Source organism: Homo sapiens, chromosome 3 (genome assembly GCF_000001405.40).
Source record: "Homo sapiens chromosome 3, GRCh38.p14 Primary Assembly".
Classification (NCBI taxonomy): Eukaryota; Metazoa; Chordata; class Mammalia; order Primates; family Hominidae; genus Homo; species Homo sapiens.
In genome coordinates, this window is record NC_000003.12 from 191,647,615 (window position 1) to 191,673,929 (window position 26,315).

General features: G+C 41.3%; 2 annotated features.

Annotated features, from left to right (window-relative positions):
* Positions 335 to 921: an enhancer, noted in NCBI's record as "NANOG hESC enhancer chr3:191365738-191366324 (GRCh37/hg19 assembly coordinates)". NCBI's record gives its function as "activates a minimal SCP1, AML or CMV promoter by ChIP-STARR-seq in primed H9 embryonic stem cells {active_cell/tissue: H9 hESC(primed)}" and the evidence as "EXISTENCE:reporter gene assay evidence [ECO:0000049][PMID:30033119]".
* Positions 24,227 to 25,038: an enhancer, noted in NCBI's record as "OCT4-NANOG-H3K27ac hESC enhancer chr3:191389630-191390441 (GRCh37/hg19 assembly coordinates)". NCBI's record gives its function as "activates a minimal SCP1, AML or CMV promoter by ChIP-STARR-seq in naive and primed H9 embryonic stem cells {active_cell/tissue: H9 hESC(naive and primed)}" and the evidence as "EXISTENCE:reporter gene assay evidence [ECO:0000049][PMID:30033119]".

Here is a 26,315-nt window from a genome sequence, read left to right on the forward strand (position 1 = left end):
TTCTTATCACCATAATATTCAAGCTGCTTCTCCTTTGGCTCAAACTCTCACTATTCTCTTATTTTCCAAACTTTCCATTGTATCCTCTGGACCCCATGTTAACTACTGATGCTACTTCTTGTCCTTTACTGAAAATTTGCTGTCTTGTAAGGACACTATTTCTATTGGATCTAATTCAAACAGATGCTGCTCATTTCTTTGACACCCCAGGAAAACCAGGCTAAGGAAGTGGAGCTGCCTTTTCCTAACAGCATAGTGCTATTTCCAGGCTATTGTTATTTTACTCTTTTGGAAATACTGTTCCTTTGAGGACTGTGATCTCTAAGTCTTCTGTCTTCCACCCATCCTCATTATCACCACCTAGTAACTACCACATTGGACCAAGTCAGTAGATCATTGCTCAGCCTAGATTCCCATGTCAATCACTTCAGTCATTCATTTGCTCAAATCGCCAACTCCATGTTCATCCACTGCCTGTACATGCAACACATTTACTCATTGTCATCTTACCTCTATAAAAGGAAAATAAGTCTTGGGGACCTCAGATCACTAAGCTAAAGGGCAAAGTCAAGCTGGGAACTGCTTAAGGCAAACTTGCCCCTCCCATTCTGTTCAACATCAACCCTCCGCTCACTGAGATAAATGCGTATTTGATTGCCTCCTTTGGAAAGGCTAATCAGAAACTCAAAAGAATGCAACCTTTTGTCTCTTATCTACCTATGACCTGGGAGTCCCCTCCCACTTCCAGTTATCCTACCTTTGCTTCTAGATGTTCCACCTTTCAGAATAGAACCAATGTTCATGTTACATATGTTGATTGATGTCTCATGTCTCTGTAAAAGGAATAAAACCAAGCTGTGCTCTGACCACCTTAGGTACATGTCATTTGGACCTCCTGAGGCTGTGTCATGGGCGTGCAAACTTAACTTTGGCAAAATAAACTTCCTAAATTGACTGAGACCTGTCTCAGATTTTTGGGGTTCATACCTCATATACTCTCAATTGGATTAAGGTCTTTAGAGGTACTAAAGTTGAAATACTAATGCTTCCTCTCATACTGTACCGTATAAAACTAAAAAAGTACAATTTTAAATAACAAATGCAAAACGTCTAAAAATTATGATTTTCCCCACAAATTCTTCCTTGCTTTTTCTAAAGATAAGTCTCCATGTTGGGCAATTCAGTATTGACTAGATAAAGCTTCCTGAATAGTGTGAAGAAAATCAAGCTATCTTCAAATTGATGCCTATTCAGGTTACTATTGCTGCATATCTGGTTATGCCAGTTCAGGAGTTTAATGACACTATTTTATTGTGTTCATAAATTCCTGGATCACACACTTATACAGAGCCCAGCAGGGATAGTTTGTCTCTGTTTCTTAATAGATAGAGTCATAGCAGGAAAGACTTGACAGCTAAGGGGTGATTTGGCTGCTGGGCACTGGAATCATCTGAAGATATCTTCACTCAGATATTTGGTGACTAATGCTGGCTATTGACTGGGACCTTGGCTGGCACTGGCATCCAGTGCACCTATGCATGGTTTCATCATGTAATTTGGGCTTTTGTGTTAGTCCATATTCATGTTGCTGATAAAGACATACCCGAGACTGGGTAATTTATAAATAAAAGTTCCACATGGCTTGGGTGGCCTCACAATCATGGCAGAAGAGCAAAGGAGAACAAAGGGATGTCTAATATTGTGGCCGGCAAAGAGAGAGAGCCACATAAAAGGGGAAACTCCTTATAAAACCATCAGATCTCATGAGACTTATTCCCTACCATGACAATGATATGAGGGAAACTAGAGGAGATGCCAACTGGGATTCCTGGGTCGAGTAGGGGCTCAGAAAGCAGTGAAACTCACTCATTTCCTGCATCAGGACTTACTTCGGCCCTGGATGAATAATATTAAAGATATATGCTTAAAATATTCTTAGCACCAGGATTTATGCATGTATTTTCTTCGCTAAGAAAGCTATAAACAACAAAAATTTTGCTGTAAGTTTCCCTGTGTCTTTCTCTCCCTCTCTCCCTTCCTCTCCACCAAAACTAAAGTTAAAAGGAATGTTAACTGCCATTTTTCTGTGACCAGCAGACCTTATCTATCCTCCCAATTCCAATTCCTTGTGAACATACTTTGTAAAGTCCTGTGAGATCCTGTCTCTTTTGCCATGCTGTTGCAATGTCATAAAGTAGATAAAACCTAAGCTGCAATTCCAGTTTTCCTCAAGATCTAAGACATGTCACAACTGGTTAATTGCCTTTGTTTCTTGCTCTGGTAACATCTTCTTGCCACACATATTTCCTGCCTTAAAGAGTTTAAAAGGCAATCCCATAATCTAACTCTGGCTACCCGTTTGGGACCCCTTCCACACTGTGGAAACTTTGTACTTTCACTCTGCTCAATAAAGCCTAGAGCTTTTTCTCCTGGTCCGTGTCTCTATCACTCGGCACTGTCAGCCACCACAAACAATTCTTTGGTGTGGATAAGCAAGAACCTTAGGTGTTACAAAACCAACCCATGATTAAATTATCTCTCATCAGGTCTATCCCACAACACGTGGGAATTATGGGAGCTACAATTCGAGATGAGAGTTCATTCTGCCCATGGCCCCTCCCAGACTTCATGCCCTCACATTTCAAAACCAATTATGCCTTCCCAACAGTCCCTCAAAGTCTTAACTCATCTCAGTATTAACTCAAAGGTCTGCAATCCAAAGTCTCATCTGAGACGAGGCAAGTCCCTTCCACCTATGAGCCTGAAAATTAAAACGAAGTTAGTTACTTCCTAGATACAATGGGGGTACAGGCATTGGGTAAATATACCCATTCCAAAAGAAAGAAATTGGCTAAAACAAAGGGGCTAAAGGCTGCATGCAAGTCCAAAATCCAGTGGGGCAGTCAAATCTTAAAGCTCCAAAATGATCTCCTTTGACTCCATGTCTCACATTCAGGTCATGCTGATGTAAAAGGTGGGTTCCAATGGTCTTGGGGAGCTTCATCCCTGTGGTTTTGCAGGGTAAAGTCTCCCTCCTGGCTGCTTTCATGGGCTGACATTGAGTTTCTGTGGCTTTTCCAGGCACACTGTGAAAGCCGTCAGGGGATCCACCATTCTGGGATCTGGAGGATGGTGGCCCTCTTCTCATAGCTCCATTAGGCAGTGCCCCAGTCTGGACTCTGTGTGGGCCTTCAACCCCACATTTCCCTTCTGCATGGTCCTAGCAGAGGTTATCCATGAGGGCTCCACCCCTGCAGCAAACTTCTGCCTCCACATCTAGGCATTTCCATACATCCTCTGACATGTAGGTGGATGTTCCCAAACCAAATTTTTGACTTCTGTGCACCCATGAATACCACGCTGAAGCTGCCAAGGCTTGGGACTTGCACCTCCTGAAGCCACAGCCTGAGCTGTACCTTGTCCCCTTTAAGCCATGGGTCGAGGGGCTGGGACACAGGGCACCAAGTCCCTGGGCTTCACACAGCAGGGGTGCCTAGGCCCAGCCCATGAAACCATTTCTTCCTCCTAGGCCTCCAAGCCTGTAATGGGGGGGCTGCCCCAAAGGTCTCTGACATGCCCTGGAGACACTTTCCCCATTGTCTTGGCGAGTAACATTTGGCTCCTCCCTACTTACGCAAATTTCTGCAGCTAGCTTGAATTTCTCCTCAGAAAATGGGTTTTTCTATCAAATCATCAAGCTGCAAATTTTCCAAACTTATATGCTCTGTTTCTCTTGTAAAACCAAATATCTTTAACAACACCCAAGTCATCTTTTGAATGTTTTGCTGCTTAGAAATTTCTTCTGCCAGATACCCTAAATCATCTCCCTCAAGTTCAAAGTTCCACAAATCTCTAGGGCAGAAGCGAAATGCCACCAGTGTCTTTGCTAAAGCATAACAGGAGTCACTTTTAGTCCAGTTCCCAATAAGTTCCTCATCTCTCTCTGAGACCACCTCAGCCTGGATTTTATTGTCCATATAATTATCAGCATTTTCAAAGCCATTCAACAACAAGTTTCTTGGAAGCTCCAAACTTTCCCACATTTTCCTGTCTTCTTCTGAGCCCTCCAAACTGTTCCAGCCTCTGTGTGTTACCCAGTTCCAATGTCACTTCCACATTTTCGGGTATCTTTACAGCAGTGCCCCATTCTACTGGTACCAATTTACTGTATTAGGCTGTTTTCATACTGCTGATAAAGACATACCTGAGACTCAGTAATTTATAAAGAAAAAGGTTTAATGGACTCACTGTAAGTGGAACTGTGGCTGGGCAGACCTTACAATCATGGTTGAAGGTGAAAGACATGTCTTATATGGTGGCAGATGAGAGAGAGTGAGAGCCAAGTGAAAGGAGAAATCCCATATGAAACCATCAGGTCTCATGAGACTTAATCAGTACCACAAGAATAGTATGGGGAAACTGCCCCATGATTCAATTATCTCCCACCGGGTCCCTCCCACAACATGTGGGAATTCTGGGAGCTACAATTCAAGATGAGATTTGGGTGGGGACACAGTCAAACCATATCAGCTTCCTCATAGCATAGAACATTCTGAGAAATTAGATTTTTTTTTTACATAGGGGATCAGGACTCCAAAAATGAATGTTCTGGAAATAAAGCAGAATCTATATAATCTAATCTGACCTAGTCTTGGAAGTTACACAATATCTTCTGCCAAATTCTATTGGTTACAAGTAAGTCAAAAGCTTATTTAAATTCAAGTGAAAGGACAAAATTCCTTCCCATCTCTTCATGTGTGAATTTGCACCATTTCCAGAAAACCCATTTCAATGACCATATAAGTGGGTGTTTGTTTTCTTTAGATGAAGCTATAACTAATGCCTTCAAATTATACTAAATAGTTAATTTTCTTTAACATTCTTCAGTGTGACTGATTCAAAAACTTTCCCTTTTCAAAACTCCTGCATGTCATAATCAGAATACTACTAAGATGGCCTCATGACCTACATACTTGTATAATTGCATCCCTTTGAGTGTGAGTAGGATCTGTAATTTTTTCTAATCAGTAGGATATGCTCAGGATGAGGGTTTTTTTTCAAATGTAATTCAAGTCCCTAATCAGCTGACTGTAAGTTAATGAAAGAGGGCAATTATCCCGAGTGAGTCTGACTTAATCAGGTGAGCCCATTAAATGAGAGTGTATAGGTCAGAGAAATTTTCCTGCTTGCCTTGAAGAAGATGCAACTATTGATGAGCTCTACAAATATAATGACATTAATTTACTAGCTACTTGAATGAAATTAGAAGAGCCATCCCAGGCAAGTCTCCATATGAGAACACAGTCTGACTGATACCTTGCTTTTAGCCTAGTGAGTTCTTAAGTAGAGGGCCCAGATAAGCTTTGCCCAGACTCCTGCCTGAGAGAAACTTTGACATAATATATGTGTGATGTTTTAAATGGCTTGTGATAATTTGCTGCAGAGCAATAGAATAATACACTGCCATAACTTGTAGAGAATATTATTGCTGCTCACATCACTATTGATGAGCTCTAAAAATGTAATGAAATTAACTTACTAGCTACTTGAATGAAATTAGAAGAAGAGCCCTCCCAGGCAAGTCTCCATATGAGAACACAGTCTTGACTGACACCTTGCTTTCAGCCTAGTGAGTTCTTAAGTAGAGGGCCCAGCTAAGCCATGCCCAGACTCCTGCCTCAGAGAAACTTTGACGTATTACATGTGTGATGTTTTAAGTGGCTTGTGACAATTTGCTGCAGAGCAATAGAATAACACACTGCCATAACTTGTAGAGAATATTATTGCTTCACATTTTCTGCAGAAAATAAAAGCCATCCCGTGAGAACTCAAGTATCTCTCACTACACCTGAAATTTATATTTTCCAACACCAAATTGTTTCCTTACCTTTTCTGAAGATGGAAAGGCTTTATTTTTCAAGACTTGATAATTCCCTGATGTAAGATTTGTAATAGTCACATTCTCTGAACACAATACAATAATATTAGAAATTATAATACAATTTAATCAAAACAGCAAAAAGCTTACTCTTATGATTTACAAAAATATCCACTTAGTTGAAATTCCCAAGACATGAATCAATATAAAGTGAAAAATGTATTTTTTGAACATCTGCTTTCAGCTATAAGAGAGTAGTTTGTAACAAACCAGCACTCACATTAAGAACAACTGAAAAACAACAGCAACAATTGTGTGAACAGCCTGGAGAGTTTCAAAGGCATTCAGAAATTAAAAGGCCATGAATTCAGTAAGAAGGTAATTTCACTGATGTGAGCCCAATGTCTCCTTGTCACTGGTTATGTCTTAAGTTATAAATCGTGACAGTCTAAAAAGTTGGGGAGAGGAAACCCAATACAAGACAGAGGAAATAGCAGAGACTTCTGTGATTTTACTGATTAGGGACAAAGGAGATAGAAATTAGTGTTGGCCACTAGAACTAAGACTTTGGAGAGAAAGGGAGCATGTAAAAGTGAGCCTAACTTTCTGAGTTGTTTCTTCAATATTTCTGTAAATTATTAAACTGTACAGGCCAATAGTATGTAAAGCTATGAAGAAATAGTCAGAAAACTCAGAAGAACTCTTGGAAGACTTACAGTGCCAAGAAGAAAAAGCTGGAGCTCTGGCCCTACCAAAGTTGAAGATCCTGGTAAATATCCCAGCCATTCTCTCTTCCAATTCCCAGAAGACTACACATTAGAAGTAGCAGATAAACCCAACATCTTCAGCATCTTTAAAACTGAAAATGAACTGCAACCCCAAACCTGATGACATTGAGAAGAGATCCTCCTGTTCTAGCCACCTTACAGAGGATAAGGGAAATGTACTTCAGAGAAAATTTCTACAATTCTCATATACATCATCTGAAAATCAGTAAAAAGTCACCAGGCATACAAAGAAGATGAACCAAAGGAAACAAAATGCATAATAGAAACAGATATACAGGTGATCTTTGTAAGTTATCAGATAAGCATTTTTAAGTAGCTGTGATTATTATATTTAAGAAAATAGATGGTGAGATGGATTTTTTTTAGGAATTTGAAAGACTTTTAAAATAATCAAATAGAAATTACATATATGACAATATAATTATTGGAAGTAAGAATTAAATAGCAGAGAATACTTAATGAGATTACTGTGAAAATGGTAAACACTAGACTCCTGAGCATTTGGAAAATGGCTATTATAAAATAAGATGTGCTGTCAGTGTAAAATACAGATAGGAGTTCAAAAACTAAGTTAAGAAGTAAACTACCTCATTAACATCTTAATATTGATTACATATTAAAATTGTACCACTTTGAGTTAAATAAAATATATGGTTAAAATTAATATTTCCTTTTTACTTTTTAGAATGTAGCTAATAGAGAACTCATATGTTGCTTGCATTGTATTTCTATTGGACAGTGCTTATTTAGATTGTGGAGTTATAGAAAATAACTAGATTGATGCATGCAGAGAGAAATAAACAGAAAAGAATATAAGACACAATGGCACAGGAAATACATGTCAAAATGCATATAACTGGATATCTTCAAGGAAGAGAGTGAAGAATGATGTAGAAGTATTACTTGAATAGATGATGGCTAAGATTTTTCTCAAATTTACAGAATCAACAGTTATAAGCAGGTAAAATAAAAAGACTTTAAGCCACAATAGACTTATGGTTCACTTGTCAACATAAATAATGGAAGCTACAATGCAATGGAATGGCATCTTTAAATTGCTGAAAATGTAGCTGTCAACCCAAAATTTTATACTAAGCAAACATAGTGTTTTGTAAAAGAGGGCAAATTAATAACATTTCTAGGCAAATAACTAAGAGAATTTGTCACTAGGAAAGCTGCATTAAAATAAAATACTAAAGGGAGCATTTCAGACAATAGAAAGTGACCCCAGGTAGCATCACAGAAATATAGAAAGTACATAATGGACAACAGAAATACAAAAATATGGGCAAAAGTAAGTATTAAGATTTTTTAAAACCCAAGCATGATAATGTCATATGTATTTTCAGGTATATATAAAATTAAAATGCCTGACTACAGTAACTCAAAAGGTGAGAATTCATAAATAAAATAGAAGCATTAAGGTCTTAGCATTGTTTGCAAAGTATGTTATAAACTAGTACTAATTTTTTATTAGACTGTGATAAGTCAAGGATGATACTGGTATTCTTTGTATATTCACTAAATGTATAGTAAAAAATATAAATAACAAATTAGGCTAAAATGGAAAGTTGATTATTTCTATAGATGGCAAGACAGAAAAGATATGTGGTAAAAAATAGCAAGATGGTAGATATAAATTAAAATAGATCAGTAACTGCATTAAATGTAAATGGAACATATAATTAAAAGAAAAAATTGTCATATTAATTTTAAAGCTATCCACTCTATGTTTCTTACAAGCAAAAACAAAAAAATTGAAAGTGAAAAGATAGAAAAGATATATTATAGAAAAACTGACCTCTAAAAATCTGGTGTAACTATACTATAAAATGTAGCCTATAACAAGGAAGCATTACCAGAGATAAACAGGGATGCTACATAATGATAGAAGATTAAATCCCTCAAGAAAATACAATAATTTAAAATTTCATGTACTTAAAAAGATAGCTTCATAAAATGAACAGAAATAAAATTGAAATAGACTTATCAACAATCAATAGGAAATTTCAGCATCTCTATCAATTGCAGAAAAAAGGCATAAGGATATGGATAAACTGAATAACAAGTAAAATTGTTAGTGTGCAAAATCAAATCAATTACCTCCAGTTCAAAATGACTTCTGCCTGTTAAACTCCAATTCAGCTTTTCCAAAGTTTTCTCAAATATTTCCATGTAAATACAAGAAAGGAAGAAATAAACAATTTCCCCACATTTAGATGCATGATGCCAGCTTAGGTAGTAAGAGCCTAAAAATTTATATCAGAGCTTCAATATGTTGTCTAAATCAACAATTTCTTAACATTGAAACCCAACAATTGGTACAAAGATACTGTGCCTTCTCCATGAGGTAGGATAATCAATTCATACAGAACTGGTAGTCTATTCCTACTTTTACCATTAATAAACTACTCTCAGGGAGTACGGCCAACCTCTATATTCAACAACGAAGGAAAATCATTTACATCTCAATAAAACAGAAAAAAATATTGGAAGACAAATTTGTAATGCTCCTTCTCTCCTTCTCCCTTTTGTGTATGTAGTTTACAAAAGTTCAGCTGAAGTAGCAATGTTTGTCCTAGGGGAATATATCTTTAAGGCTGAAACTCAGGAATTTGGGGGTCCAACAAAGAGGACAGGGGTTTGTCAAATAGCACTACACAGATATGTCTATTTCACTTACATTTAAGTATGCCTGCCTCACAAATAGTAAGGTTATTCCCACCAAACTGATACACAGTACAATCGATCATTTTTGTTACATATTTGATTAAAGATAAACTTTTGAAATATTTTTACATTCTAAAAATAAATGGTAGTATAGATTTTTGTGCTTCTTTCTTTCTCCCACTATTATACGGTTACCTTTATTATTGTAATTGCTCTAAATGCTTAGGCTGTATTGGCTGAATTAAAATTAATATTCTTCAAAATTATTTCTTCTAAATCTATTGGTCTGCAAAACTGAGTTTCTTTGAGCAAGGATCACATTCTAATTATTTATCTTCCTTTACTGTTTAGCACAGTGCCTGGCAATAGTAAATAAGAGTTGTTTGAAGAACAACTATATTATATGTTATGACAATTGACTGCAACATAATCTATTGCTCTGACATTATAGATGGTTTCTTAGTAAACTACTTTTCAATATACAGCAATTGAGAAGACAGATAATTATATAGTTATAGTTATGTTAATGCCATATAACTCTTTGAAAGAATCTGGTCTACAGGCATTAGCACCATAAAATAATTTTGGTCAGTGTGTGGATGGTCGATATTAAAGTTAGATTTTAAATAATTTTTTATTGATAGTCTGTATCTTTCATTTAGAGGTCATAAGAATAAATATTGATGTCGAGACAAAAAATACAAATGCTAAAGCATTGATAAATACCAAAGCAATTTGCTGGCAGATATTAACATTTTTTAAAAAATTACCTTAGTAGTCTATTGCATTATTCTAGACCCTTTTCAAGGAAAACATTTAATTTACTGTGGAATCCAAGAGAATCTATGCATATGCCAACAGATGTTTATGTGTTAAAAGAAAAATCCTTGGAATATTTTTAGATGTAATTAACACAGTACATGTTACATCTAATTTCCACCTTTAAAAATTACTTGCAATAATTCTCTTCTTTATAAATAATTTAACCTTGAATAGCACAATTTTGGGGGAGTGGCTCAGAAACTTCTGAACTAGGAGCACATTTAATCTTGTATTTCTACACAATTAGTTTCTGTTTGTTTTCTTTGCTTTACCAAAAATAAACAAAAAACTAAACCATTTTCTGAAATCAACACAATATATTCCAATAGAAATTGATTTAAAGTCAAGGAAAAGTTTCAGATCTTTTAGGTAATTAAGCAGGTAGTTAATTTTAGGTAGATTAACAATTTTATCCAAAGTAAGCATTAAAATTCTGGCTGATGATCTAGTATATTAGAAAAAAATTAAATTTATTGTACAAATGTAGATTATTGATGTCATTCTACGTTATTATACGTACTTAAATATAATTGCTGCCTTATGTTATAGTAGGAGGCTGTTCTATAAATTAGAAATCAGTACATTCTATTGCCTTGTTCCAGATATCTAAATGTCACTCTTTTTAATGTGTTCTAGTTAAGAGGAATTCATAAAGATGTGAAGAAATTGATTTCCCAAGTGGTTAACTGGCACTTTAAACACTCGTGTATTCATTTCTTCATTCTATAAGCATTTATTGGGTACTTGTCACGTGCCAAACTTTATTCTAGGCACTTTGAATATAAGGGAAGTAAAATGAAGTGTATAACCTTGAGATTCCATCAGTCTAAACAGAATGAGGGAAACAATAATAGAAAGATGATTGTACTACACTTCTGGAAAATGTAATGATAAAGATCAGCACAGAATATTATAGAAGTAGAATGGTCAAATAGCTAATCCAAACTTGGAGGTTATGGCTACCAAGAGAAATTTGTAGAAGATAATTCTTGAAAATTTTAAATAAGAGAAACCCCCTTTGGGTCCTCTCCCCTTGTACGGGAGCTCTGTTTTCACTCTATTTCACTCTATTAAATCTTGCAACTGCACTCTTATGATCCATGTTTGTTACGGCTTGAGCTGAGCTTTCGCTCGCTGTCCACCACTGCTGTTTTGCCACCATGGCAGACCCACCACTGACCTCCATCCCTCCGCATCCAGCAGGGTGTCCGCTGTGCTCCTGATCCAGTGAGGCGCCCGTTGCCACTCCCGATTGGGCTAAGGGCTTGCCAATGTTCCTGCATGGCTAAGTGCCTGGGTTCGTCCTAATCGAGCTGAACACTAGTCACTGGGTTCCATGGTTCTCTTCCATGACCCACAACTTCTAATAGAGCTATAACAAGCACTGCATGGCCCAAGATTCCATTCCTTGGAATCCGTGAGGCCAAGAACCCCAGGTCAGAGAACACGAGGCTTGCCACCATCTTGGAAGTGGCCCACCGCCATTTTGGAAGTGGCCAACCACCATCTTGGGAGCTCTGGGAGCAAGGACCCCTGGTAACATTTTGGCGACCACGAAGGGACATCCCAAGTGGTGAGTAATATTGGACCACTTTCGCTTGCTATTCTGTCCTATCCTTCCTTAGAACTGGAGGAAAACACCGGGCACTTGTCGGCCAGTTAAAAATGATAAGCATGGCCGCCGGACTAAAGACTCGGTGTGAGGCTATCTGGGGAAGGGCTTCCTAACAACCCCCAACCCTTCTACCGGGGACATTGGTCTGCCTGGAGCCAGCTTCCACCTTTGATTTTCTTGGGGAAGCTGAGGGCCAGCTAGAGGCAGAAAGCTGTTGTCCTGAACTCCCTGCAGTAGCCGGTTAAGATCGTGGCGCAGCCAGAAGTCTCTACTCAACAGTCGCCCATGCGTGCGCCCCTACCTTTCCTCCTGACCCATACCTCCTGGGTCCTGACCACGACTTTCTTGAAAGTGTAGCCCCAAAATTCTCCTTACCTCTGAATCTGCTTCCTCTGATCCCTGCCTCCTAGGTACTAATGGTTCAGACTTTCATTTCCTCTAGCAAGTTGTATCTGCAAAGGGATCTAAGGAAGCTCTACACTGCGTCCTTAGGCACATAGGCTGTAACCCAGGGAGTCTTACCCCTGGTATCCCTCCCGATTTAGGTATACGGCTCTCGACATGGGCAGTTACGTGGGATCCATTCCCCACCACCCTTGCCAGGGCCCCAAGTTTGTAATGGCTAAGAAAGACAGAGAGACAGAGATGGAGAGAGAGACAAAGAGGGAGTCAAGGAGAAAAAGAAAGGAAAAGATAGAAATAGTTAAAAAAAAAAAAAGTGTGCGTATTCCTTTAAAAGCCAGGGTAAATTTAAAACTTGTAATTGATAATTGCCACTTTGTTGTCAGTGTAAATAAGGGTGTAGCAAATCCTGAACCCAGTAACCCATGGATGGGCCAAATGCATTCAGTCTGTAGTGACAACTGCTTTACTAAAAGTAGAAAAGTAACTTTTAGAGGAAACCTGGTTGTGAGCACACCTCACCAGTTCAGAGTTATTCCAAGTCAAAAAAAAAAAAGCAAAAAGGTAGCTTACTAACTCAAAAACCTTAAAGTATTGGGCTATTCTGTTAGAAAAGGGTAATGTAACTCCAACCACTGATAATTCCCTTAACCCAGCAGATTTCCTAACCGGGGATTTAAGACTTAATTACCATACAAAGGTCCAACCAGAGCTAGGAGGAACTCCCTTCAGGACAGGAGGTTAGATGGTTCCTCCTAGGTGATTGAGGAAAAAACCACAATGGGTAATCAGTAATTGATAGGAGACTCTTGTGGAAGCAGAGTTAGAAAATTTGCCTAATAACTGGTCTCCTCAAATGTGCGAGCTGTTTGCACTCAGCCAAGCCTTAAAGTACTTACAGAATCAAAAAGACTATCTCAATCCTGACTCAAAAAGTTACCTACACCCTCTCTGAAATGAATTTGCATAAGAACTGCTTTTATAGGAATGCATCTTGATGGGGTGGCTGGGTTGTTATGAAATACTCAGGAACCCAGCCCAGCTCTAGGACTCACCCCTGAGTGCAAAGGCAATGTTGGGCACGCTGGTAAAGGACCACTAGAATCCAGAGGGTGCCCAGACACCTTTCTTAGTGGTCAAAAGAGGCAGGAAAACAGGTGCAGGACTGCTACATTGGCCAGCATAACTAATCCGATAAGCAGAGGTCCGTGGGTGGTTACGCACCCTGGAAAGGAACTCACCTCTGAGCACAAAGGCAATGTTGGGCATGCCGGTAAAGGACCACTAGAATCCAGCAGCCCGGACCCCTTTCTCTGTGGTCAAGAGAGGCGGGAAAACAGGTGCAGGACTGCTACATCGGTGAGTGTAACTAATCCGATAAGCAGAGGTCCATGGGTGGTTACACACCCTGGAAAAGAATAAGCATTAGGACCATAGGGGACACTCTAGGACTAATGCTCATGGGAAAATGACTAGGGGTGCTGGCATCCCTATTTTCTTTTTTCAGAGGGGAAACATTCCCCCCAAGGCAAAAAAACCCCTAACGTATTCTGGAGAACTGGGACCAATTTGACCCTCAGATGCTAAGAAAGAAATGACATATTCTTCTGCAGTACTACCTGGCCATGATATCCTCTTCAAGGGGGAGAAACCTGGCCTCCTGGGGAAGTATAAATTATAACAGCATCTTACAGCTAGACCTTTTTTGTAAAAAAAAAAAAAAAAAAAAAAAAAAAAGGCAAATGGAGTGAAGCACCATATGTACAAACTTTTTTTCATTAAGAGACAACTCGTAATTATGTAAAACGTGTGATTTATGCCCTACAGAAAGCCCTCAGAGTCTACCTCCCTACCCCAGCCCCCATGACCCCAACTAATAAGAACCCCCCTTCAACGCAGTGTAGACCCTCATTGGGACACAGAATCAGAACATGGAGATTGGTGCTGCAGACATTTGCTAATTTGCGTACTAGAAGGACTAAGGAAAACTAGGAAGAAGACTATGAATTATTCAATGATGTCCACTTTAACACAAGTAAAGGAAGAAAATCCTACTGCCTTTCCGGAGAGACTAAGGGGGGTATTGAGGAAGCATACCTCTCTGTCACCTGACTCTGTTGAAGGCCAACTAATCTTAAAGGATAAGTTTATCACTCAGTCAACTGCAGACATTAGAAAAAAACTTCAAAAGTCCACCTTAGGCCTGGAGCAAAACTTAGAAACCCTATTGAACTTGGCAACCTTGGTTTTTTTAATAGACACGAGGAGGAGCAGGTGGAACGGGACAAATGGGATTAAAAAAAAGGCCACTGCTTTAGTCATGGCCCTCAGGCAAGCAGACTTTGGAGGCTCTGGAAAAGGGAAAAGCTGGGCAAATTGAATGCCTAATAGGGCTTGCTTCCAGTGTGGTCTACAAGGATACTTTAAAAAAGATTGTCCAAGTAGAAGTAAGCTGCCCCCTAGTCCATGCCCCTTATGTCAAGAGAATCACTGGAAGGCCCACTGCCCCAGGGAATGAAGGTCCTCTGAGTCAGAAGCCACTAACCAGATGATCCAGCAGCAGGACTGAGGGTGCCCGAGGCAAGCGCCAGCCCATGCCATCACCCTCACAGAGCCCCGGGTATGCTTGACCATAGAGGCTAACTGTCTCCTGGACACTGGTGCGGCCTTCTCAGTCTTACTCTCCTGTTCTGGACAACTGTCCTCCAGATCTGTCACTATCCAAGGGGTCCTAGAACAGCCAGTCACGAGATACTTCTCCCAGCCACTAAGCTGTGACTGGGGAGCTTTACTCTTTTCACATGCTTTTCTAATTATGCCTGAAAGCCCCACTCCCTTGTTAGGGAGAGACATTCTAGCAAAAGCAGGGGCCATTATACACCTGAACATAGGAGAAGGAACACCTGTTTGTTGTCCCCTGCTTGAGGAAGGAATTAATCCTAAAGTCTAGGCAACAGAAGGACAATATAGACAAGCAAAAAATACCCGTCCTGTTCAAGTTAAAGAATTCCACCTCCTTTCCCTACCAAAGGCAGTAGCCCCTCAGATCCGAGGCACAACAAGGACTCCAAAAGATTGTTAAGGACGTAAAAGCCCAAGGCCTAGTAAAAGCATGCAATAGCCCCTGCAATACTCCAATTTTATTATTACAGAGACCCAACAGACAGTGGAGGTTAGTGCAAGATCTCAGGATTATCAATGAGGCTGTTGTTCCTCTATACCTAGCTGTACCTAACCCTTATACTCTGCTTTCCCAAATACCAGAGGCAGCAAAGTGGTTTACAGTCCTAGACCTTAAGGGTGCTTTTTTCTGTATCCCTGTACATCCTGACTCTCACTTCTTGTTTGCCTTTGAAGATCCTTTGAACCCAACATCTCAAGTCACCTGGACTGTTTTACCCCAAGGGTTCAAGGATAGCCCCCATCTATTTGGCCAGGCATTAGCCCAAGACTTGAGCCAGTTCTCATACCTGGACAATCTTGTCCTTCAGTATGGGGATGATTTAATTTTGGCCACCCGTTCAGAAACCTTGTGCCATCAAGCCACCCAAGCACTCTTAAATTTCCTCGCTACCTGTGGTTACAAGGTTTCCAAATGAAAGGCTCAGCTCTGCTCACAGCAGGTTAAATACTTAGGGCTAAAATTATCCAAAGGCACCAGGGCCCTCAGTGAGGAATGCATCCAGCCAATACTGGCTTATTCTCATCCCAAAACCCTAAAGCAACTAAGAGAATTCCTTGGCATAACAGGCTTCTGCCAAATATGGATTCCCAGGTACGGTGAAATAGCCAGGCCATTATACACACTAATTAAGGAAACTCAAAAAGCGAATACCCATTTAGTAAGACAGACACCTGAAGCAGAAGCAGCTTTCCAGGCCTTAAAGAAGGCCCTAACCCAAACCCCAGTGTTAAGCTTGCCAACGGGGCAAGACTTTTCTTTATATGTCACAGAAAAAAAACAGGAATAGCTCTAGGAGTTCTTACACAAGTCCAAGGGACGAGCTTGCAACCTGTGGCATACCTGAGTAAGGAAATAGATGTAGTGACAAAGGGTTGGCCTCATTGTTTACAGGTAGTTGCTGCAGCAGCAGTCTTAGTATCTGAAGCAGTTAAAATAATACAGGGAAGAAATCTTACTGTGTGGACATCTCATGATGTGAACGGCATGCTCACTACTAAAGGAGACTTGTGGCTGTCAGACAACCATTTACTTAAATATCAGGCTCTATTACTTGAAGGGCCAGTGTGGCAACTGCACACTTGTGCAACTCTTAACCCAGCCACATTTCTTTCAGACAATGAAGAAAAGATAGAACATAACTGTCAACAAGTAATTACTCAAACCTGTGCCACTAGAGGGGACCTTTTAGAGGTTCCCTTGACTGATCCTGACCTCAACTTGTATACTGATGGAAGTTCCTTTGTAGAAAAAGGACTTCAAAAAGTGGGGTATGCAGTGGTCAGTGATAATGGAATACTTAAGGTAATCCCCTCACTCCAGGAACTAGTGCTCAGCTGGCAGAACTAATAGCCCTAATTTGGGCACTAGAATTAGGAGAAGGAAAAAGGGTAAATATATATAAAGACTCTAAGTATGCTTACCTAGTCCTCCATGCCCATGCAGCAATATGGAGAGAAAGGGAATTCCTAACTTCTGAGGGAATACCTATCAAACATCAGGAAGCCATTAGGAGATTATTATTGGCTGTACAGAAACCTAAAGAGGTGATAGTCTTACACTGCCAGGGTCATCAAAAAGGAAAGAAAGGAAAATAGAAGGGAACCGCCAAGCGGATATTGAAGTCAAAAAAGCCACAAGGCAGGACCCTTCATTAGAAATGCTTATAGAAGGGCCCCTAGTATAGGGTAATCCCCTCCGGGAAACCAAACCCCAGTACTCAGCAGGAAAAATAGAATAGGGAACCTCACGAGAACAAACTTCCCTCCCCTCCAGATGGCTAGCCACCAAAGAAGGAAAAATACTTTTGCTTGCAGCTAACTAATAGAAATTACTTAAAACCCTTCACCAAACCTTCCATTAGGCATTGATAGCACCCATCAGATGGCCAAATTATTATTTACTGGTCCAGGCCTTTTCAAAACTATCAAGCAGATAGATAGTCAGGGCCTGTGAAGTGTGCCAAAGAAATAATCCCCTATACTGCAGGCCATACATTTCAATCCCTGTATCTTTAACCTCCTTGTTAAGTTTGTCTCTTCCAGAATCAAAATGGTAAAACTACAAATGGGTCTTCAAATGGAGCCCCAGATGCAGTCCATGACTAAGATCCACCACAGACCCCTGGACTGGCCTGCTAGCCCATGATCCGATGTTAATGACATCAAAGGCACCCCTCCCAAGGAAATCTCAACTGCCCAACCCCTACTATGCCCCAATTCAGCAGGAAGCAGTTAGAGCAGTCATTGGCCAACCTCCCCAACAGCACTTGGATCTTCCTGTTGAGAGGGGGGACTGAGAGATAGGACTAGCTGGATTTCCTAGGCCAACTAAGAATCCCTAAGCCTAGCTGGGAAGGTGACCGCATCCACCTTTAAACACGGGGCTCGCAACTTAGCTCACACCCAACCAATCAGAGAGCTCACTAAAATGCTAATTAGGCAAAAACAGGAGGTAAATAATAGCCAATCATCTATTGCCTGAGAGCACAGCGGGAGGGACAAGGAACGGGATATAAAACCAGGCATTCGAGCTGGCAATGGCAACCCCCTTTGGGTCCCCTTCCCTTGTATGGGAGCTCTGTTTTCACTCTATTTCACTCTATTAAATCTTGCAACTGCAAAAAAAAAAAAAAATTTAAATAAGTTCCAGATCTTTCATAGATTACATATTAAGGTGAAAGGTGTTCCAAGAAGAAGAATAGTATAAACAGTGGCAAAGAGGCAAGAAACAATAAAGTTTGTGCAAAGAATTATACATAGAATCACCTGTTGGTGTGTATCACTCGAGGCAGAGAGCAGGTAGGAATAAGGCTAGCAATAGGCAAGGCCAGATTAGGTAGATCCTACAACATATATTACAACCTTTTCCTGAACTTGTAGCCAATTTAGAGTCATTGATGAGCAATCAGTGGTAGAGTCCAATAGTTAAATGTTGGACTATAGGCAGATAATTCTGGAAGGGATATGGAGAATGGCTTGAAATGGACAAGACTAAAAGCCTTCAGAACATTTGCAGTAAGCATGTGAATGATAATGAGAATGGTGATAGGAACAGAGAGGAGGAAATAGATTTGGGAAATATGATATTTAGTTAATAAAATCAGAGCTACATGGTTATTTGGAAATGGGAGGGACGAGGATAAGCCCCTACTGACATCTTAGGAGATGAGCTGAATGACTGTGCTACATTATCTTCTTTACTTCAAGTTTAATACATGAACTAGAAATTGGTATCATCAGTCAGGAGAAAAGAAGCTTGGAACTTCCAGAAATCAAGACAATTACTTTCATGCGCGTCCGTGTGAAAAGCCCACCAAACAGGCTTTGTGTGAGCAACATGTCTGTTTATTTCACCTGGGTGCAGGCGGGCTGAGTCTGAAAAGAGAGTCAGCGAAGGGAGATAAGGGTGGGGCCCTTTTATAGGATTTGAGTAGGTAAAGGAAAATCACAGTCAAAGGGGGTTTGTTCTCTGGCGGGCAGGAGTGGGGGTCGCAAGGTGCTCAGTGGGGGTGTTTTTGAGCCAGGATGAGCCAGGAAAAGGACTTTCACAAGGTAATGCCATCACTTAAGGCAAGGACCGACCATTTATACTTTTTTTGTGGTGGAATGTCATCAGTTAAGGTGGGGCAGGGCATATTCACTTCTTTTGTGATTCTTCAGTTACTTCAGGCCATCTGGGTATATACGTGCAAGTCACAGGGGATGCGATGGCTTGGCTTGGGCTCAGAGGCCTGACATTCCTGACTTCTTATATTAATAAGAAAAATAAAATGAAATAGTGTTGAAGTGTTGGTGTGGCAAAAATTTTTGGGGGATGGTATGGAGAGAGAATGGGCGATGTTTCTCAGGGCTGCTTCAAGCGGGATTAGGGGCGGCGTGGGAGCCTAGAGTGGGAGAGATTAAGCTGAAGGGAGGTCTTGTGGTAAGGGGTGATATTGTGGGGATGTTAGAAGAAACATTTGTCGTATAGAATGATTGGTGATGGCCTGGATACGGTTTTGGATGAATTGAGAAACTAAATGGAATAACAGAAGGAGAAAAACAGGTATAAAAGGTCTAAGAATTGGGACTACTCAGGATATCTGATTAGAGAGTGCTTAAGGAGATTCAGCATAGTCCTGCCAGAAAAGATTATTTATTTACTTCAAGAGTTAAGAGTGGCAGTCTGGGGATAGCACCAGGAGATATCAGCTGTGATGGCTTGGAAAAACAGTGTAAACCAGCAGTGTAAACAGGAGCAGGGCCTGTATGAGTAGTTGAGAATGGTAAATAGGAGTATGACTAGACAGAAGATAGTAGGGATGACAGGTTTTTTGGGGCACAGTCTAAGTTGGTCTGGTGTCTGGAATGAGACTGGGGCCTAATAAAAAGGAGCGTCTATACAGGAGCTTAAATGGGTTGTACCCTGTAGCATTCCGAGGACAGGCCTGAATTCTGAGAAGGGAAAGTGATAAAAGTATTGTCCAGTCCTTTTTAAGTTGGTGGCTGAGCTTGGTGAGGTGTGTTCTTAAAAGACCTTTAGTTCATTCTACCTTTCTTGAAGACGGAGGACCGTAAGGGACATAAAGGTTTCACTGAACACTAAGAGCCTGAAAAACTGCTTGGCTGATTTGACTAATAAAGGCTCATCTGTTATCAGACTGTATTGAGGTGGGAAGGCTAAACTGAGGAATTATGTCTGACAGAAGGGAAGAAATGACTGCGGTGGCCTTCTCAGACCCTGTAGGAGAGGCCTCTACCTATCCAGTGAAAGTATCTACCTAGACTAAGAGGTATTTTAGTTATCTGACTCAGGGCATGTTGAATAAAGCTAATTTGCCAGTCCTGGGTGGGGCAAATCCTCGAGCTTGATGTGTAGGGAAGGGAGGGGGCCTGAATAATCCCTGAGGAGTAGTAGAACAGCAGATGGAACACTGAGAAGTTATTACCTTGAGGATAGATTTCCACAATGGAAAGGAAATGAGAGGTTCTAAGAGGCAGGCTAGTGGCTTGTACTATAGCATAGCCTACCTTTGCTGGCGTGTGGCGATTAGGCCTGGTGGAACCACCATCAATAAATCAAGTGTGATCAGGGTGAGGAACAGGAAAGAAGGAAATTTGGGGAAATGGGGTGAATGTCAGGTGGATCAGAGAGATGCAGTCATGGGGGTCGGGTGTGGTATCAGGAATAATGTGGGAGGCCAGATTGAAGTCTGGGCCAGGAACAACGGTAATTGTGGGAGACTCAACAAAGAGTGAGTACAGCTGAAGGAGCCAGGGAGCAGAAAGTATATGCATCAGGTATGAGGAAGAAAATAGATTTTGGAAGTTGAGAACTGTAGAGAGTGAGTTGAGCATAGTTTGTGATTTTGAGGGCCTCCAAAAGTATTAGGGAAGCAGCAGCAGCTGCACGGAGACATGATGGCCAGCCTAAAACTGTAAGGTCAAGTTGTTTGGACAAAAAGGCTACAGGATGCGATCCTGGTCCTTATGTAAGAATTCTGACTGCACAGCCCTGCACTTCGGCTGTGTGTAATGAAAAGGGTTGGGATGAGTCAGGGAGAGCTAGAGTGGGGGCAGTTTCTAAAGCTGTCTTCAAGGAACAGAAAGAGGAGTGGGAAAAGGATTTAGGATCTATGGGATCAGCTAGGTTTTCTTTTGTGAGTTTATATAATGGTTTTGTTAGGATGGCAAAACCAGGTATCCAAAGGCGAAAGTATCCAACCATGCCCAGGAATGAAAGGAGTTGTTTTGTAGAAGGGGTTGGGGTTTGAGAGATCAGTCAGACACGATTGGCAGGGAGAGCATGTGTGCTTTTATGAGAATTATGCTGAGATAGGTAACAGATGAGGAAGAAATTTGGGCTTGATTGAAGTAATGGGGGCTGTCTGTGAAGCTTTGTGGCAGTACAGCCTAGGTAATTTGCTGAGCTTGATGGGTGTCAGGGTCAGTCCAAGTGAAAGCGAAGAGAGGCTGTGATTAAGGGTGCAAAGGAATAGTGAAGAAAGCATGTTTGAGATCTAGAACAGAATAATGGGTTGTAGAGGCAGGTATTGAGGATAGGAGAGTATATGGGTTTGGCACCACGGGGTGGATAGGCAAAACAATTTGGTTGATAAGGCGCAGATCCTGAACTAACTTGTAAGGCTTGTCTGGTTTTAGGACAGGTAAAATGGGGGAATTGTAAGGAGAGTTTATAGGCTTTAAAAGGCCATGCTGTAGCAGGTGAGTGATAACAGGCTTTAATCTTTTTAAAGCGTGCTGCGGGATGGGATATTGGCGTTGAGTGGGGTAAGGGTGATTAGGTTTTAATGAAATGGTAAGGGGTGCATGATTGGTCACCAAGGAGGGAGTAGAGGTATCTTATACTTGTGGGTTAAGGTCGGGGGATACAAGAGGAGGACACAAAGGAGGCTTTGGATTGGGAAGAAGGGTGGCAATGAGATATAGCTGTAGTCCAGGAATAGTCAGGGAAGCAGATAATTTAGTTAAAGTGTCTCAGCCTAATAAGGGAACTGGGCAGGTGGGGGTAACTAAAAAGGAGTGCTTAAAAGAGTATTGTCTAAGTTGGCACCAGAGTTGGGGAGTTTTAAGAGGTTTAGAAGCCTAGCCATCAATACCCACAACAGTTACGGAGGCAGGGGAAACAGGCCTTTGAAAAGGAGGTAATGTGGAGTGGGTACCCTCCATATTGATTAAGAAGGGGATGGGCTTACCTTCCACTGTGAGAGTTACCTGAAGCTCGGCGTCCATGATGGTCTAGGGGGCTTCCGAGGAGATTAGGCAGTGTCAGTCTTCAGCTGCTAAGCTGAGAAGATCTGGGAAGGAGTCAGTCAGAGAGCCTTGGGCCAGAGTTCCAGGGGCTCTGGGAGTGGCTGCCAGGTGAGTTGAACAGTCCGATTTCCAGTGGGGTCCCGCACAGATGGGACACGGCTTAGGAGGAATCCCAGGCTGTGGGCATTCCTTGGCCCAGTGTCCAGATTTCCAGCACGTGTAGCAAGCTCTGTGGGAGGAGGTTCTGGAGGAATGCCTGGCCACTGCGTTTCAGGCGTTTGGAAGTTCTTGTGTGCTGGAGATGTGGCTGGGGTTTGTCTCACAGTGAAGGCAAGGAATTGCAAATTTTTTCTATTATTGTACACCTTGAAGGCGAGGTTAATTAAATCCTGTTGTGGGGTTTGAGGGCCAGAATTTAATTTTTGGAGTTTTATTTAATGTCAGGAGCAGATTGGGTAATAAAATGTATTTTGAGAATAAGACGGCCTTTTGACCTTTTAGGGTCTAGGGCTGTAAAGTGGCTCAGGGTTGCTGCCAAACGAGCCATGAACTGGGCTGGATTTTTATATTTGATGAAAAAGAGCCTAAACGCTTCTGATTTGGGATAAAGAAAGAGGAGCATTAACCCTGACTATGCCTTTGGCTCCAGCCGCCTTTTTAAGAGTAAATTGCTGGGCAGGTGGGGGAGGGCTAGTCACAGAACGAAACTGTAAGCCGGACCAGGTGTGAGGAGGGGAGGTGATAAAAAGATTACAGCGTGGAGGAACGGAGGCTGAGGAAGAATTGGGACCTAGCTCGGCCTGGCGAGGAGCAGCCTGGGGAGGAAGGGAGAGGTCAGATGGGTCTGTACAAAAGGAAGATTAGAAAGACTCAGTGACGCTTGGGGTTGGTACTGAGGGGACAGATGGGAGGGAAAGAAGGAACATTTGGGATGAGTTGCACTGGGCACAGAGACTAGGAAGGGACTGATGTGTAAAAGAATGCCTGGACTTCAGGCACCTCAGACCGTTTGCCTATTTTACGACAATAATTATTTAGATTTTGCAGGATGGAAAAATTCAAAGTGCCATTTTCTGGCTATGTGGAACTACTCTCGAGTTTGTATTGGAGTCAAGCAGCATTGCAGAAGAAAATAAGGCATTTAGGTTTTAGGTCAGGTGTGAGTTGAAGAGGTTTTAAGTTTTTGAGAACACAGGCCAAGGGAGTAGAAGGAGGAATGGAGGGTGGAAAGTTGCCCATAGTGAAGGAAGCAAGCCTAGAGAAAAGAGAGTAGAGAAACGGAGGGAAGGGGTTCGGGGGTTCTTACCTTCCAGAAAAGTGGGAAAAGGGGTTGGGGCACAGAGATAAGAGGTTGGGGCACAGAAATAAGGGATGGGGCACAGAAATAAGGGGTCGGGGCATGGAAATAAGGGATTGGGGCACAGAGATAAGAGGTTGGGGCATGGAAATAAGGGATTGGGGTGCAGAGATATAAGAGGTTGGGGCGTGGAAATAAGGGACTGGGGCACAGAGATATGAGGTTGGGGTACTTGCCCCTGCTCTAGAAGAGCGGGACTTGCCACTAAGAGTGAAGGAGAAGGGGTTGAGGGGTACTTGCCCCTCCCCCAGAAAAGCGGGACTTGCCGCTAAGGGTGAAGGAGAAGGGGTTGAGGGGTACTTGCCCCTCCCCCAGAAAAGCAGAGAAGGGGTAGAGACAAGGAAAGAAGGGGTTGGGGTACTTGCCCCTTTCCTAGAAAAGCTGGACTTGCCGCTAAGGGTGAAGGACCAAGGCAGGCATCCCTCCATGGTCTGACACCTTTGAAACATGGGTGAATAATCAGAGAGGTGTCCCTGCAATGATTAAACACCAAGGGAAGGCTGCCTTCCCAGTCCGTGACCGGCGCCGGAGTTTTGGGTCCACGGATAAAACGTGTCTCCTTTGTCTCTCCTAGAAAATGAAAGGAATTGAAATTAAGAGAACGGAGAGATTGAAGAGTGGTGCCAAGATTGAAAGGAGAAAGAGGTTGAGGGATAGTGAGGGAGGTTGGAGAAGAGAGTAAAAAGAGGCCGCTTACTGGATTTGAAATTGGTGAGATGTTTCTTGGGCTGGTCAGTCTGAGGACCTGAGGTCGTAGGTGGATCTTTCTCATGGAGCAAAGAACAGGAGGCCAGGGGATTGATCTCCTAAGGGAGGTCCCCCGATCTGAGTCATGGCACCAAATTTCATGTGCATCCGTGTGAAGAGACCACCAAACAGGCTTTGTGTGAGCAACATGGCTGTTTATTTCACCTGGGTGTAGGTGGGCTGAGTCTGAAAAGACAGTCAGCGAAAGGAGATAAGGATGGGGTCATTTTATAGGATTTGTGTAGGTAAAGGAAAATTACAGTCAAAGGGGGTTTGTTCTCTGGTGGGCCGGAGTGGGGGTCGCAAGGTGCTCAGTGGGGGTGCTTTTTGAGCCAGGATGAGCCAGGAAAAGGACTTTCACAAGGTAATGTCATCACTTAAGGCAAGGACCGGCCATTTACACTTCTTTTGTGGTGGAATGTCATCAGTTAAGGTGGGGCAGGGCATATTCACTTCTTTTGTGATTCTTCAGTTACTTCAGGCCATCTGGGCGAATACGTGCAAGTCACAGGGGATGCGATGGCTTGGCTTGGGCTCAGAGGCCTGACAATTACCACAGAGCAATTTAAAGTCAGGGCAAAATTTCAGATCTTTTAAGCAATTAAGCAGTTAGTTCATGTTCGGAAATATTACCTTCATCAAAATTAAGCATCACAGTCCTGTCTGAAGCTCTTATATATTAAAAACTCATTTTTAGTTTTACCTACGAATGTAGCATATTGCTTTCATTTGCCTTTAAATACAAGGGCTGCTGTATGCTTAAGATAGGTGAATGTGATGTTAGTAAGTGATTAATAGTTATTTAAATACTCCAGACTTTATTATTTGAGAATGTCAATATGAATCTATACAGTATATAGTATACATACAGTATATACAGTGTTAGACACTGTGCTTTATGCTGAGGAGGCAGAGAAGAAATAAATACACAAACCCTGATGACAAAGAGTTGTTTTAGCTGAAAGATGGATTTTTAAAGATGGGTGATTTATTTTATTTTATTTTAAGTTCAGGGGTACATGTGCCAGATGTGCAGGTTTGTTACATAGGTAAATGTGTGCCATGGTGGTTTGCTGTACAGATTATATAGGGATGATTTATTGTATTAAAAAATACTTTCTGTGAGATGCTATGATTTTTCTCCTCACAGAAAATGGTATGTTTTCACCCACATCTAACCATAAAATACAAATTTATCCTCATAAATATGCTATTGCTTAGATATCAGTCTGCATCCCCTTGAAAGTTTTATTTCTTTTAGTATTTTCAATTAACAATTTTTGAATCATTCATGTGACATGAAATATGATTTTATATGTTAATAGAATTCATTGCTGCTAGTAACCAGAGTAAGACCAATTTATGTATTTTCTTTATAATTTTTCATTCTCTTACTATATTTTTGTGGAACATCCCCAAACTAGAAAGATGTGGACTTAGCCAAGTTCTGAGCACTTTCTCTTCATGATAAGGATGTGATTCAATCTCTTTGACAATGGTCTTTTTTTTTCTTTTCTTTTTTTTCTTTCTTTTTTTCTCGAGATGGAGTCATGCTCTGTCACCCAGGCTGGAGTGCAGTGGCGCTGATCTCGGCTCACTGCAAGCTCCGCCTCCCGGGTTCACGCCATTCTCCTGCCTCAGCCTCCCGAGTAGCTGGAACTACAGGAGCCCACCACCACGCCTGGTAATTTTTTTGTGTTTTTAGTAGATACGGGGTTTCCCCGTGTTAGCCAGGATGGTCTCGATCTCCTGACCTCCTGATCCACACGTTTCCGCCTCCCAAAGTGCTGGGATTACAGGCTTGAGCCACTGCGCCCGGCCGACAATAGTCTTTAGAGAAAAGCCAGTTTGTTTTTGGGTCTAGACTTCAAGATAAGAGTTTTTCTTGTTCTCAGTAATTGAGCAATTGGGGATGTACCTTCAAGATATTTCCTTTGCTTGTTGTCTCTGAAATACAAGGGCTATGGAAATTTTGGATAAAAACATTCAATCAATAAGTTAAAAAGCAGTGAAGTGTGCTTAATTAATCCGGCTGATTCACTGAGTAAGAGTTAATGTAATTGCCATTATCAGATGGAACATTTAGGCATACTTAGTTTA